The 13,262-nt window shown below is 36.5% G+C and overlaps 1 protein-coding gene and 1 pseudogene across 26 annotated transcripts in view; one reads left to right on the top strand and one right to left on the bottom strand.

Annotated features, from left to right (window-relative positions):
- Positions 1–13,262, bottom strand: part of MBD5 (methyl-CpG binding domain protein 5) — a 496,045-nt gene that overhangs the window by 218,078 nt on the left and 264,705 nt on the right. The window lies entirely within an intron of this gene.
- Positions 2,230–3,489, top strand: USP12P2 (USP12 pseudogene 2; annotated as a pseudogene).

Genomic DNA, 13,262 nt, shown 5'->3' with positions numbered 1-13,262 from the left:
TTGTATATCACCTACAGAATGCCATGTATATAAACAGGTGTACTTAGGTTAGGTTGTGCCTATTCGTACATGTTGGCACTAAGTCTATACATACAATATTGATATATGAGGATGCTGTAATTTACTGACATGCAGTGTACAAAGTGGTTTATGGCATGATGCCGATTTCTAGAGCTATAAGCAATATATTGATAAATTATAAATCATACAGTAATAAAGTTCCTTCTGAGAAGAAGAAGAGAGGTTTATGGGATACTGTCCAAAAGATAATAGCCCAGACTCACTTCTGGAATGGATGAGGAGTGAGGAGCTCCCCAGTGAAACAACCATAACTGGTAAAAAATTATAAAAATAAAATCATTTAAAATCTCTGAAAATTGTCTTCAGGGCACACAGCCAATGAAGAAACATTTGTGCAAGACAATTTACTAACTCTTGGGAAGAACAAAGAGAGTCACTGGCACTTGAGTCACAACCCACTGCCTTCCTCACTCCCACTCACCAGCTCAGCAGGACAGAAGCTCCACTCCAGGTAGGTGTGGTCAAGATTACAGGGCTGCCCTTCTCCCCACCTCCCAGCCAAGGGCTCTGATATCTTCCACAGAAGGCAAGCTATCAACATTTCTCATGACCCCAGCTATGTATTGCAGATGTAAAATTCTACTCAAGTACAGTTGAGAGGCCAGGGGTTCCCTTTCTGCACCAAGACCTTACCTGTAGAGCAAAAGTTCTTCTACTCCAGGTGAGGTAGACTGAGAACACTGGAGCTTAAAGCATCCATGCCCCAGCTCACCCTTAGGGCACAGGTTCCATGCTGGGAGAAGCAAGCCAAGAGATTAGAGGCTACTCCTCTGCACACTGCTCTGCTCATAAAACAGGTTTGCCACTGCATGAAAAGTGGGCTGCTGTTCCTAACCTTAGCTTCAGGCTAGTAGTTCCAAGATTTTGCCCAGGGGGAGGAGAATATCATAAGAACAGAGAACTCCGAAGCTCTCCCCAAGAGAACTGACTTTATTGAGAATAGAGTGAGGGAGAATTCAAGCCCAAGAGTGCTCTTGAAACAATGAAGATTCTGATGGTATGCAAAAGGAGGCTAGTATCTCCATGAGAGAAATAAGCTAAGTAGTAGGTCATCTCGGTGAACAATAGGAAATGACTGGATATCAGTTATTAAACAAAACAGAAAAACACTCCCCAAAACTTGAAGGTATTTGCCAGAGAGAATCAAAGAGGCAGTTAAGAACAATCTTCCTGGAGTCAGAATAAACTTCAAAGAATGGCCTCAAAATTAGTTCAGTATAGGGGACAGAATTTAATTGGAACAGACTACAGCAGTTTGTTCCCTGGGGTATTATTGGAAACAATAAAGCATTACCCCAGCAATTAGTAGAGCTTAACAGGTAGGTATGATACCAATAGAAGCAAACAGCATAACAGATCAAGGAAAGAGACAGTCAAAGGGAGTCTGTCATAGCTACTGTCATCCCAGGAGGACTATATGCATGGGAAAGGCTGCGTGCTCTGAAGAGTAACATCAGAAGCTTCACATAGGTGGTGAATAGATTTTGTTAAAATAGTCCAGGGAAGTCATTAAATGAATAAACAGGCCAACAACAATGACAAATATTGAGGACTAATATTCAGAATTGCTACAATATGCTATCTAGAAAGTCCAGTTTTCAATAAAATATTATAAGATATGCAAAGAGGCCAGACACGGTAACTCATGCCTGTAAATCCCAGCATGTTGGGAGGCTGAGGTGGGCAGATCACTTGAAGTCAGGAGTTCCAGACCAGCCTGGCCAACACGGTGAAACCCCGTTTCTACTACAAGTACCAAAAATAAAAACAATTAGTCGGGCGTGGTGGCAGGTGCCTGTAATCCCAGCTATTTGGGAGGCTGAGGCACGAGAACTGCTTGAACCTGGGATGCGGAGGTTGCAGTGAGCCAAAATTGTGCCACTGTACTCTCCAGTACAGCCTGGGCGACAGAGTGAGACTCTGTCTCCAAAAAAAAAAAAAAAAAAAATTGAAGAACTAAAGCAAACTATGCTTAAAGAACAAAAGGAAAGTATGATTACAACATTTTAACAGATATACAATATTAATAAAGAGACAGAAATTGTAAAAAAAAAATTGGGCAATGGTGGCTGGGCAGGTTTGGTGTGTGGGTTTGTGGCCCATGCTTTGCAATGCAAGTGGGTGGCCTAGCTTCTCTCCTCCCCTGCCTCCATCTGGACCACGAGTGCCAGTGCTTCAGCATTAGAGAAAGAGATTGGCCCAGAACAGTTTCCAGTCAATGAACACTATTTTGGGTTAGTCAATTTTGGGAATACCTGCAATGGGCACTTTTGGGTTAGTCAATTTGGGAAATATGTGCAATTTTGGGAATTCAGTTCTTCATGCGCTTTATTTTTGTCATCCATTTCAGGAAAAAGTTCTAGCATACAAGACAACCTAGGTAGAAGGAAAATTTTAATGTGCTCAGCAACTTTCTTCCACTGTGTAGCCACACAGAAGGAAAAGGTTGAAGTAATATCGCCCGAGAAGTTCAAAACAAGGTTACAGAAAGAAAATGAGTTTTTCTGCATGCAACAAGATACCCATGGGTTCTTAAATTACCTACTAAATACAATTGCTGATATTCTATAAGAAGAGAGAAGGCAGGATAAACAAAATGGTCACTTACCAAATGGTAATATTGATAATGAAAATAACAACAGCACACCAGACCCAATGTAGGTTCATGAAATTTTTCAGAAAACATTAACTAATGAAACCAGATGTATTACTTGTGAAACTATAAGAGCAAAGATGAAGATTTTAAAGAACTTCCTGTGATATAGAACAAAATATATCAGTTATTCACTGTTTAAGGGTTTTTAGCAACACAGAAACTCTATGAAGTGAATACAGACATTACTGTGAAGAGTGTTGTAGCAAATAGGAAGCACATAAATGAATGAAAGTTTAAAAACCACCCATGATTAGAGCTCTACATCTGAAAATATTTAAATATATGGATTAAATTCACTGATGTACGAAACTTTCTTACTAGGTAGTTTTTCGTTTAGAACTTTGTCTGTGTAACACTTCAGGGGATGCAACCAATCCAGACAGAATACACGACCTTGTTGCTATTATGATTTACTGCGGAAGTGGTCACAGGTGAGGCCATTATATTGTAATAGTTAAGAATCAAGATTTCTGCTTGTCCTTTGATGACACTGTAGAAAAAAATGAATGCACGAATTACTGAAGAATTCTATGTATTGACCTCAGATATTGCAAAGAACTCAGAGTCTGGTTACGTTCTTTTCTATTAGTCTCGGAACTGAGTGGAGACTGTGAGGAGGACATACTTTCTGCCTTATTTCTTCTCTGGTTATTTTGGAGAGAATCAAACACCAATTTTTCAAGAAATAGAAATGCAGGGAGCTCAAAAGCCACTAATACTCTTTGCACACAATGAAGCAAAGACTATGGATTTTAAAAAAAGAGAAAAGTGGAAATTCCGGATGGAAATAAATATATAATACAATGAAATAAGAAATTCACTAGAGGGGCTCAATCATAGATTTCAGTTGGCAGAATAAAGAATCAGTGAACACGATGATAGATTGATAGAGATTATGTAATGAAAGCACAGAGAAAAAAGAATGTAGTAAATAACAGAGCCTCAGAGAAATGTGGGACACCATGAAACACAGCAGCATATGCATAAGAGGGGTACCAGAAGGAGATGTGAGAAAGAAACAAAATAATATTCAAAGAAATAATGGCTGGAAACTTCCAAAATTTGATGAAAATTCACTAACTGACCTACTGAAGAAGCTCAACAAATTCCAAGTAGGATGAAGACAGAGAGAATCATACTCAGACACATCAAAGTGAAAATGTTCAAGGGAGAGAAAATCTTGAACGCAGTAAGAGAAAAATAATTTCTCACATACAAGGGAAGCTCAAAAAGATCAGTGGCTGATTTCTCATCAGAAACAATGGAGACCAGAAGGCAGAGGGATGATATAAACAAAGTGCTGACAGGAAAACAAAACCCCAAAACTTGTTACTTAAAAATTTTAATTCTGGGCTGGACGTGGTGGCTCACGCCTGTAATCCCAGCACTTTGGGAGGCAGAGGTGTGCAGATCACTGGAGGCCAGCAGTTCGAGACCAGCTTGGGCAACATAGTGAAAGCCTGTCTCTACTAAAAATACAAAAAAAATCATCTGGGCATGGTGGTGTGTGGCTGTAATATCAGCTACTCGGGAGGCTGAGGCACGAGAATCCCTTGAACCCGGGAGGTGGAGGTTGCAGTGAGCTGAGATCGCACGGCTGCACTCCAGCCTGGGCGATGGAGCCAGCTCTATCTCAAAAAAAAAAAAAAAAAAAACTGTAATCCCAGCACTTTGGGAGGCCGAGGCAGGCGGATCACGAGGTCAGGAGATCAAGACCATCCTGGCTAACACAGTGAAACCCTGTCTCTACTAAAAATACAAAAAATTAGCCGGGCGTGGTGGCGGGCACCTGTAGTCCCAGCTACTCGGGAGGCTGAGGCAGGAGAATGGCGTGAACCCGGGAGGCAGAGCTTGCAGTGAGCCGAGATCACGCCACTGCACTCCAGCCTGAATGACAGAGCAAGACTCTGTCTCAAAAAAAAAAAAAAAAAAAAAAAAAAAAAAAAAAAAAAAAAAAAAACTTCATTCTGGCCAAACTCTATTTCAAAAAGGAACGTGAAATAAGTATGTTCCAAGGAAACTGAAACTGAGAAAATTTATTGATAACACATCTACCTACATGACAAGAAGTACTAAAGAAACTTCTTCAAGAATCCAGTTGATAATCTGACATGAAGAAAACAAAAAGGGGCAGCACAAGTAAAAGTAATTATAAAAGATACAATGAATGCATATTTCGTCTCCTTCTTTCCTTAATTGATCGAAAAAGAAATTGTATAAAACAATATTGTAGGAGAAAGTACTGTGGGTCTATCACATATAGAAATATATCTGGCAAGAATAACATAAAGGAGCACAGAATAAGCATGTGACAAAATCTAACACCTCTTCATTTTAAAAATATTCAACAAACAAGAAGTAGAAGGGCACTTCCTCAACCATTAAAGGACATTTATGGAAAATCCACAGTTCATATCATACTTAATGGTGAATGAATGCATGTTTTCCCCCCAGATCAGGAACAAAAAATATCTAGTCTTGCCACTTCTATTCAACATTATACTGGAAGTTCTAGCCAAGGAAACTAGACAAGAAAATGAAATAAAAGGCACACAGATTGGGAAAGACTAAGATAGAGGTAAGACTATCTCGATTTAAGATGATATGATCTTTTTCAAAAAAATTATTGTAGGTACATAGTGGGTATATATATTTACGGGGTACATGAGATGTTTTGATACAGGCATGCAATGTGAAATAAACACATCATGGAGACTGGGGTATCCATCCCCTCTGGCATTTATCCTTTGAGATATAAACCATTACATTCTTTAAGTTTAAAATATACAATTAAATTATTATTAACTATAGTCACTCTATTATGCTATCACAATACAATAGTAGATTTTATTCCTTCTTTATAGTTTTTGTACCCATTAGCCATCCCCACCTCTCCCCCAATCCCCTACTACCCTTCCCAGCCTCTGGCAACCATAGCCTCCCAGGGAGTTGGGACTACAGACACATGCCACCATGCCTGGCTAATTTTTTTTTTTTTTTTTTTTTTTTGAGGCAAGGTTTCACTACGTTGCTCAGGCTGGTCTCGAACTCCTGGGCTCAAGTGATCCACCTGACCTTGGCTTCTCAAAGTGTTGGGATTAGAGGCATAAGCCACACTTCACCTGGCCAATTGTTTTGTTTAATTCAGCAAATGAGTGGGAGCATGCATTTGTTTGTCTTTCTGTGCCTGGCTTATTGCACTTAGCATAATGATCTCCAGTTCCATCCATGTTGTTGCAAATGATTGGATCCCTTTTTTTTTTTTATGGCTGAATGGTACTCTGTTGTGTATAGGTACCACATTTTCTTTATCCATTCATCTGCTGATGAACACTTAGCTTGCTCCCGAATCTCTAGCTACTGTAAACAGTGCTGCAACAAACTTGGGAGTGCACAGATATATCTTCAATATGCTGATTTCCTTTCTTTTGGGTATATACTCAGCAGTGAGACTGCTGGATCATATGGTAGCTCTATTTTTAGTTTTTAAAGGAACCTCCAGACTGTTGTCCATAGTGGCTGTACTAACTTGCACTCCCACCAACATTGTAGGAGGGTTCCCTTTTTTCCACATCCTAGCTAGCATTTGTTATTACCTATCTTTTGGATATAAGTCATTTTAATTGGGGTGAGAGGATATCTCATTGTAGTCTCGATTTGCATTTCTGATGATTAATGATTGAACACCCTTTCATATACCTGTTTGCTATTTGTATGTCTTCTTTTGAGAAATGTCTATTGAATCAAATCTTTTGCCCATTTTTAAATTGTATTGTTAGATTATTTTTCCTGTAAAGTTTATGAGCTCCTTACATATTCTGGTTATTAATCCTTTGTCAGATAGGTAGTTTGCAAATATTTTCTCCCATTCTGTTTGTTGTCTCTTCACTTTCTTGACTGTTTCCTTTGCTGTGCAGAGGCTTTTTAACTTAATGTGATCCCACTTGTCCATTTTTGCTTTGGCTGCCTGTGCTCATGGGGTGTTGCTCAAGAAATATTTGCCCAGATCAATATCTTAGACAGCTACTCCAATGTTTTCTTGTAGTAATTTCATAGTTTGAGGTCTTAAATGTAAGTCTTTAATGTATTTTGATTTGGTTTTTGTTTATGGTGAGAGATAGGGGTCTAGTTTCATTCTTTTGCATACGATTATTGAGTTTTCCCAGCACCAATTATTGAAAAGACTCTTTTCCCTCAGCGTATGCTTCTGGCACTTTTGTCAAAAATGAGTTCACTGTATGTGTATGGATTTGTTTCTAGGTTCTCATTCTGTTCCATTGGTCTATGTGTCTGTTTTTATGCCAGGACCATGCTGTTTTCAGTTAGTACAACTCTGTAGTATATTTGAAGTCAGGTAATGTGATTCCTCCAGTTTTGTTCTTTTGCTTAGAGCAGCTTTGGTTATTTTGGATTTTTTGTGATTCCATATACATTTTAGGATTGTTTTTTCTATTTCTGTGAAGGATGTCATTGGTATTTTGATAGGCATTACACTGATTTTATATATAAGAAAGCCAAAGGAATGTTCTAAAAATCTACAAAAATTAACAAGTTCAGCAAAATTGCAGGATACAAGATCAATATACAAAAATCAATCATTTTCTTTTGCCATTGACTCAGTGTTAAAAAAAATTGGTTATTTTCTCTAAACGGGCAATGAATAATCTGAAATGAAATAATAAAACAATTCCATCGAAAATTCTATTAAAAAATTAAAATATTTGTGAATAGATTTAACAAAGGAAGAGTGAAGTTACATTTTAAAAACTACAAAATATCAGTGAAAGAAATTAAAGACTTAAGTGAATACAAAGACATCTCATGTTCATGGATCTGAGCTCTACTATTGTTAAGATGATAAAATTCTCCAAATTGATCTACTGATTCAATGTAATCTCTATCAAACTCCCAGCTAGCTTTGTTGCTAAAATTGGTACGTTGATCTTAAAATTCACATGGAAATTGATAGAACGTAGAATAGCCCAAACACACCATTTTAAAAAACAGGAACAAAATTGGAGGACTCTTACTTCCTTATTTCAAACTTATCAAAGCTACAGTAATTAAAATAGTGTGGTACCTACAAAAAGATAGACACATACAGATCAATGGAATAGACATGACAGATAAATAAAGCATGTATTGACAAAGATGTGGAGAAACTGAAACCCTCATACACTCTTGGTAGGACTGTAAATGGTGCAGCTGTTTTGGAAAAGAGCCTGACAGTCTCTCAAATGTTAAACATAAAGTTAACATATAAGTCAGTAATTCTATGCCTAGTTATATAACAAAGAGCAATGAAAATATATATTCACATAAAAACTTGTGCACAAATATTTATAGTATTATTATTCACTATAGCTAAAAAGTAGAAACTACTCAAATATTCATCAATTGATGAATAAAATGAAATGTGGTATATTCGTAACTGAAATATTATTTGGTAATAGAAATGAAAAAATTACTGATACACGCTACAATATTGATGAACATTAAAAATACTGTACTGAGTAAAAGGAAATGAAGAGAAAATAATGAGCGGGGAAGAGCCTGGGGTTGTCACACTGAAAACATACAGTCACTAAATGGCTTAGTATTGATAAGTCAACAGAAGGTCAGTTAAGGTATGAGGAGACTGATAATTTGTATTGAGGCCTCTTTCATCTAGAAGGAGAGTCATGGCAGTGCAATGGTGAATTTGATCAGTTGCTCAGTACTTTAAACTGCTCTAGTTCTCCTTTTTTATTCTGAAATTCCTAAAGCCTGTTAAAAGGCAGGAATCTCATTCTTAAGAAATATATCTTTCCCAAGAGAATGATTTAAGTGTTTATTGTTTCTTAGATTTAAAAAAAGCAGCTTACTTTTCCATTCATTTAAAGAGTAATACATGATTTTTGGCTGGGTGCGGTGACTCACGCCTATAATCCCAGGACTTTGGGAGGCTGAGGCAGGTAGGTCACCTGAGGTCAGGCATTCGAGATCAGCCTGGCCAACGTGGTGAAACACTGTCTCTACTAAAAATACAAAAAAATTAGCTGGGCGTGGTGGTGGGCACCTGTAATCCCAGCTACTTGGGAGGCTGAGGCAGGATAATTGCTTGAGTTCAGGAGGTAGAGGTTGCAGTGAGCTAAGATCGTGCTACTGCACTCCAGCCTGGATGACACAGTGAGACTCCATCTCAAAAAAAAAAAAAAAAAAAGGTAATACATGATTTTTATAGGATTATTAGAGAATACAAATAAGTGTAAGAATGAAAACAGTCCTATTAATTAAAACCAAATAACTATTAAACTGTTGATATTTTTGCATAACTTTCTCAGACTTTTTTTCTGCTTTCATTTTTTGCAAAGCAGTGACAATACTAAATTTCGTACATTTTTAAAGAGAAAGTCCACATTTAAGCAAATTATTTGAAAACATTATGTATAATAACATCACATTATTGCATTGTAATTTGTTCATTACCATTCACTACTGTTTACCATTTAGGTTGTTTCCAAATTTAGTTATTATAAATAATGTTGTAAAGTTTCCTGTGGATAATGTTTTTCTATGCTTCCTTAGAATAGATTTTTAGAAACTGAGTTAAAGGATAATAATATCTTTTTATCCTTTATGTAGGTATGGCATACCTTGGTAGGTATCCAATGTAGGTATGGCATACATACATTGATTAGTTGTTTTCCAAGAGTTGTACTAATTATACCTACCCACAGTGTAAGAAAATACCTGTTTCTGGACATTTTCACAAACATGTCATCTTACCCTCATGAGCACTATTGTCTTACCAAATCTCTAGAACATGAATCTAAAATTCCACTCATAACCTATATTGAAAGAAGAACTCATTATAAGTTTCATAAAAGGAGAAATTGTTAATATTTGCTATAAAGGCTTTTCATAGTTTTATGAGATAAATGTACTATACATTAAATAGGAGTAAAGTTAATTTTTCTTATTCTGGAAAAGAATGAGTTTGTATCAGCTTGAGTCAAATAAAAAAACTATTTTGGCCATTTCTACTATTAGCAAGGCACTGTAATGAATGAAGCTTATAGTTTGGGAAGTTGTAAGCACAAAAGTAGTTCAATAACCATATGAGATTTAAATAAATAGTTTCAGAAAACAGCAGAAGAGTTGTTCAGGGGCTGCACACAATTATTTGTCAAAGATATAATACAGAAAAATGAAGCCTCTGGAAATTCAGATGAGAGAGATCACTGCAGGTTAGGATAAGATTTATTAATTACAGAACTTACTAAATATATAGAAAACACAGAGAAGTCTTGGTCTTTATTCAAAAGTCTTTGAACCATAAGCATCAGCCTTTAAAAAATTCTGTTTAGTGTTTATAACATTTAATCATTTCATTTTTAGATTACTGTTTTTTTTTCCTTTTTATTATTTCTACTTCAAGACTCACTTCTAACAAAGTATCCTGTGATAGATTACACTACACACATCCCTGCATTGAGTAGTTAATTGCGCCTATGGTTCACCTAGTCCGATCATCAGGGCTTTTTTCCCTTGGTATGTATTTGTTTTTGGAGCATCTATTATAATATAATGGTGAATCAATTGGTGCTAGGTTATTTTGGTTCATAGCTATGACATAGCAAAATATCTTTCTTGGATAGTAGAATATGATTCATGCTAAATAAATGTCACTATCAACACTGACAGCCCACTTTAGTCAATGCTATGAATGAATTTCCATCTTATTACTGTGAAGAAATCACTTTTTTTTTTTTTTTGAGACGGAGTCTCGCTCTGTCGCCCAGGCTGGAGTGCAGTGGCGGGATCTCAGCTCACTGCAAGCTCCGCCTCCCGGGTTCACGCCATTCTCCTGCCTCAGCCTCCCAAGTAGCTGGGACTACAGGCGCCCGCCACTACGCCCGGCTAATTTTTTGTATTTTTAGTAGAGACGGGGTTTCACCGTTTTAGCCGGGATGGTCTCGATCTCCTGACCTCGTGATCCGCCTGCCTCGGCCTCCCAAAGTGCTGGGATTACAGGCGTGAGCCACCGCGCCCGGCCAGAAATCACTTTTTTAAAGGTCTGAAGTTTATACACACACACACACACCAACATAACACACACTTTCATGGTACTTAAAAATGCCATAGTTGATGAGTTATTTGAGATGAGAAAGCATCTATAATAAACTTGAAAAGCTTCAGAATCTTGCTATCCAGAAATTCACCATTTATGCTACAGAGTGAGTGCGTCCCCCAAAGTTCATGTGTTGCAAATGTAATCCCCAAAGCAACAACGTTGAGAACTCGGAGTTTCAAGAGGGGATTAGGTTATGAGGGGTCTGCCCTCATAAATGAATTAATGTTGTTATCATAGGATGGTTTCATTATTGTGAGAGTGAGTTTGTTATAAAAGTGAGTTTGACACTCTCTTGCTTTATCTTATACACATGCTCTATTGCTCTTCTGCTTTTGGCCATTGGGATGATGTGGCAAGTAGGTCCTCACCAGATGCAGGCCCCTTGACCTTGGACTTCCCAGTCTGCAGGATCATGAGAAATACGTTTTTCTTTATAAATTATGCAATCTGTGGTATTCTGTTGTAGCAACACAAAATGGACTAAGACAATTCCCATATTCAGAAGACTGAAGGCAAAACAGGAGAGGTCCCATTACCTGAATATTCATTACCGAATCAAAAGTTCTATCAGCATAAAAAACTGACTGATACATCCGTCACTCACTAATTGGGCCCTTCTCAAATATCCTTCCCTACTCAACACTAAAGAGCCTGTTCTTACTCTTCATGACAAAAATTTTGTTGGTCAGTCTTTCTCTAATCAATGGATGGTGTAAACATATCTGTTCTTTTGGGATGCTATCTATGCCTATAAAATATGCAAATTTATGCAAAGTCAATATTGGGAAAGATGTGGGATTTCATGGAGTTAATGAAAATTATATTTGAACACTACTCACATCACAAATAAAGCCAGTAAGAGCAGTTAAAAGTGAAATAAAGAAAATAAGCAAGGATCATGATTCAATGGGTGTTTGAAAGGAGAATAATATAAACATTAATGATTGGAGACACCTTTAGGAAAACTAAAAAACCCTCTGAATATTTTTGCAAAAAAAAGAACCTCTTTAAAAACCATAATAGAAAGTTAAACAATAAGGGCAAGATGTCATATTGCATTATCATCAACTTTGTTAGAAATTACAAAAATGAAAATTAAAATGTCATTTATCCTTTGTTGCTCTTCATTATTCCCACAGTTAAAATTATAACTTGCATTTAAATAGCCTTCAGTTAAATATTTTTCATAAGTAAGTACCACTAAACTTACCACTACTATTTACCGTAAATCTTCGGTTCCTTTACCATAAGTCTTTGGTTCCTATTTCATTTAGATTCCTTGTCCTGGCTGCAATTATTCTTAGATAATAACAACAATAATAATAAAGGACAAGTCATAAAAATAATTTTGCTTCTTAAAGATGAGTACAACCAGATTAAATGAATACCTTTTTTAAAACAGAGGCAAACCTTAATTAATTATGCTCATAAACAAAGCATTCATAGTTCTGGTACAGTGTTAACAAAGAAAGCAATGTCCATCATCTGCAATCTTTGTTTATAAAATGATAGATTTTAATGCAGAGAGTGTTGGGAGTAGGGTGAGAAAGTGATTACAGCTTACCTAAATAAACAGAGGTCTGCAAAGTCTGGAAAATTAAAATCAATGAGAAGTTATGTGGGTAAGTCTGCTTGTCAGCTTGGGGATCGAAATGCAGAAGAAATATGATCATAACTCTGATGAATCTTGGCACAACATTTCTCAGCAACTAAAGTTTTTAAAAGTTATATATTAAAAGTCAAATGACACATGAATATGAAATAATAAACATATCAGATGATAAAAAGCAAGAATCATTCAGAAAGTAATAAAAATCAGTAATAGTTTCCCAAAATGGTAAGAAAATATGTTCATGTATTAAAACGGAAAAAAAGCTTTACGACAAATAATCCAGCTACTAAGTCAAACGGCAAATTTCATGTCTGTAAGAACAAACACTTTAGTCACAATAACTGTAAATTCTTTCAATTGAAATATTATTGCTAAATACTATATGGATACCTGAAAATACTAATAATAAAAAGAAGTGTTTGCTGCTATTAAAACTTATTAAAATTTTTACTAAATTATACACTATTCTGAAGAATAAGTAGAAAAAAATGAATAAAGTGATATATAAAATCACTTTAATAAAATATAAATTGTATAAAATTTAATGTATATAAAATGTAATGAATTAGAGGCCAGGCACAGTGGCTCACACCTGTAATCCCGGCACTTTGGGAGGCCAAGGTGGGTGGATGGCTTGAGCTCAGGAGTTCCAGACCAGCCTAGGCAACATGGTGACAGCTTGCCTCTATTTAAAAAAAAATGCGGTGAATTAGAGTATATGCCCCAACTAACAGTGGTGATGTGGTAATATGGGCATATTATTCTCAGATATTCTCATTATTCAGTAAAATCTGGAT

This window comes from Homo sapiens, chromosome 2 (assembly GCF_000001405.40).
Source record: "Homo sapiens chromosome 2, GRCh38.p14 Primary Assembly".
Taxonomy (NCBI): Eukaryota; Metazoa; Chordata; class Mammalia; order Primates; family Hominidae; genus Homo; species Homo sapiens.
The sequence above is the reverse complement of the archived record's forward strand: the minus strand, read 5'-3'. Positions and strand labels throughout refer to the sequence as shown.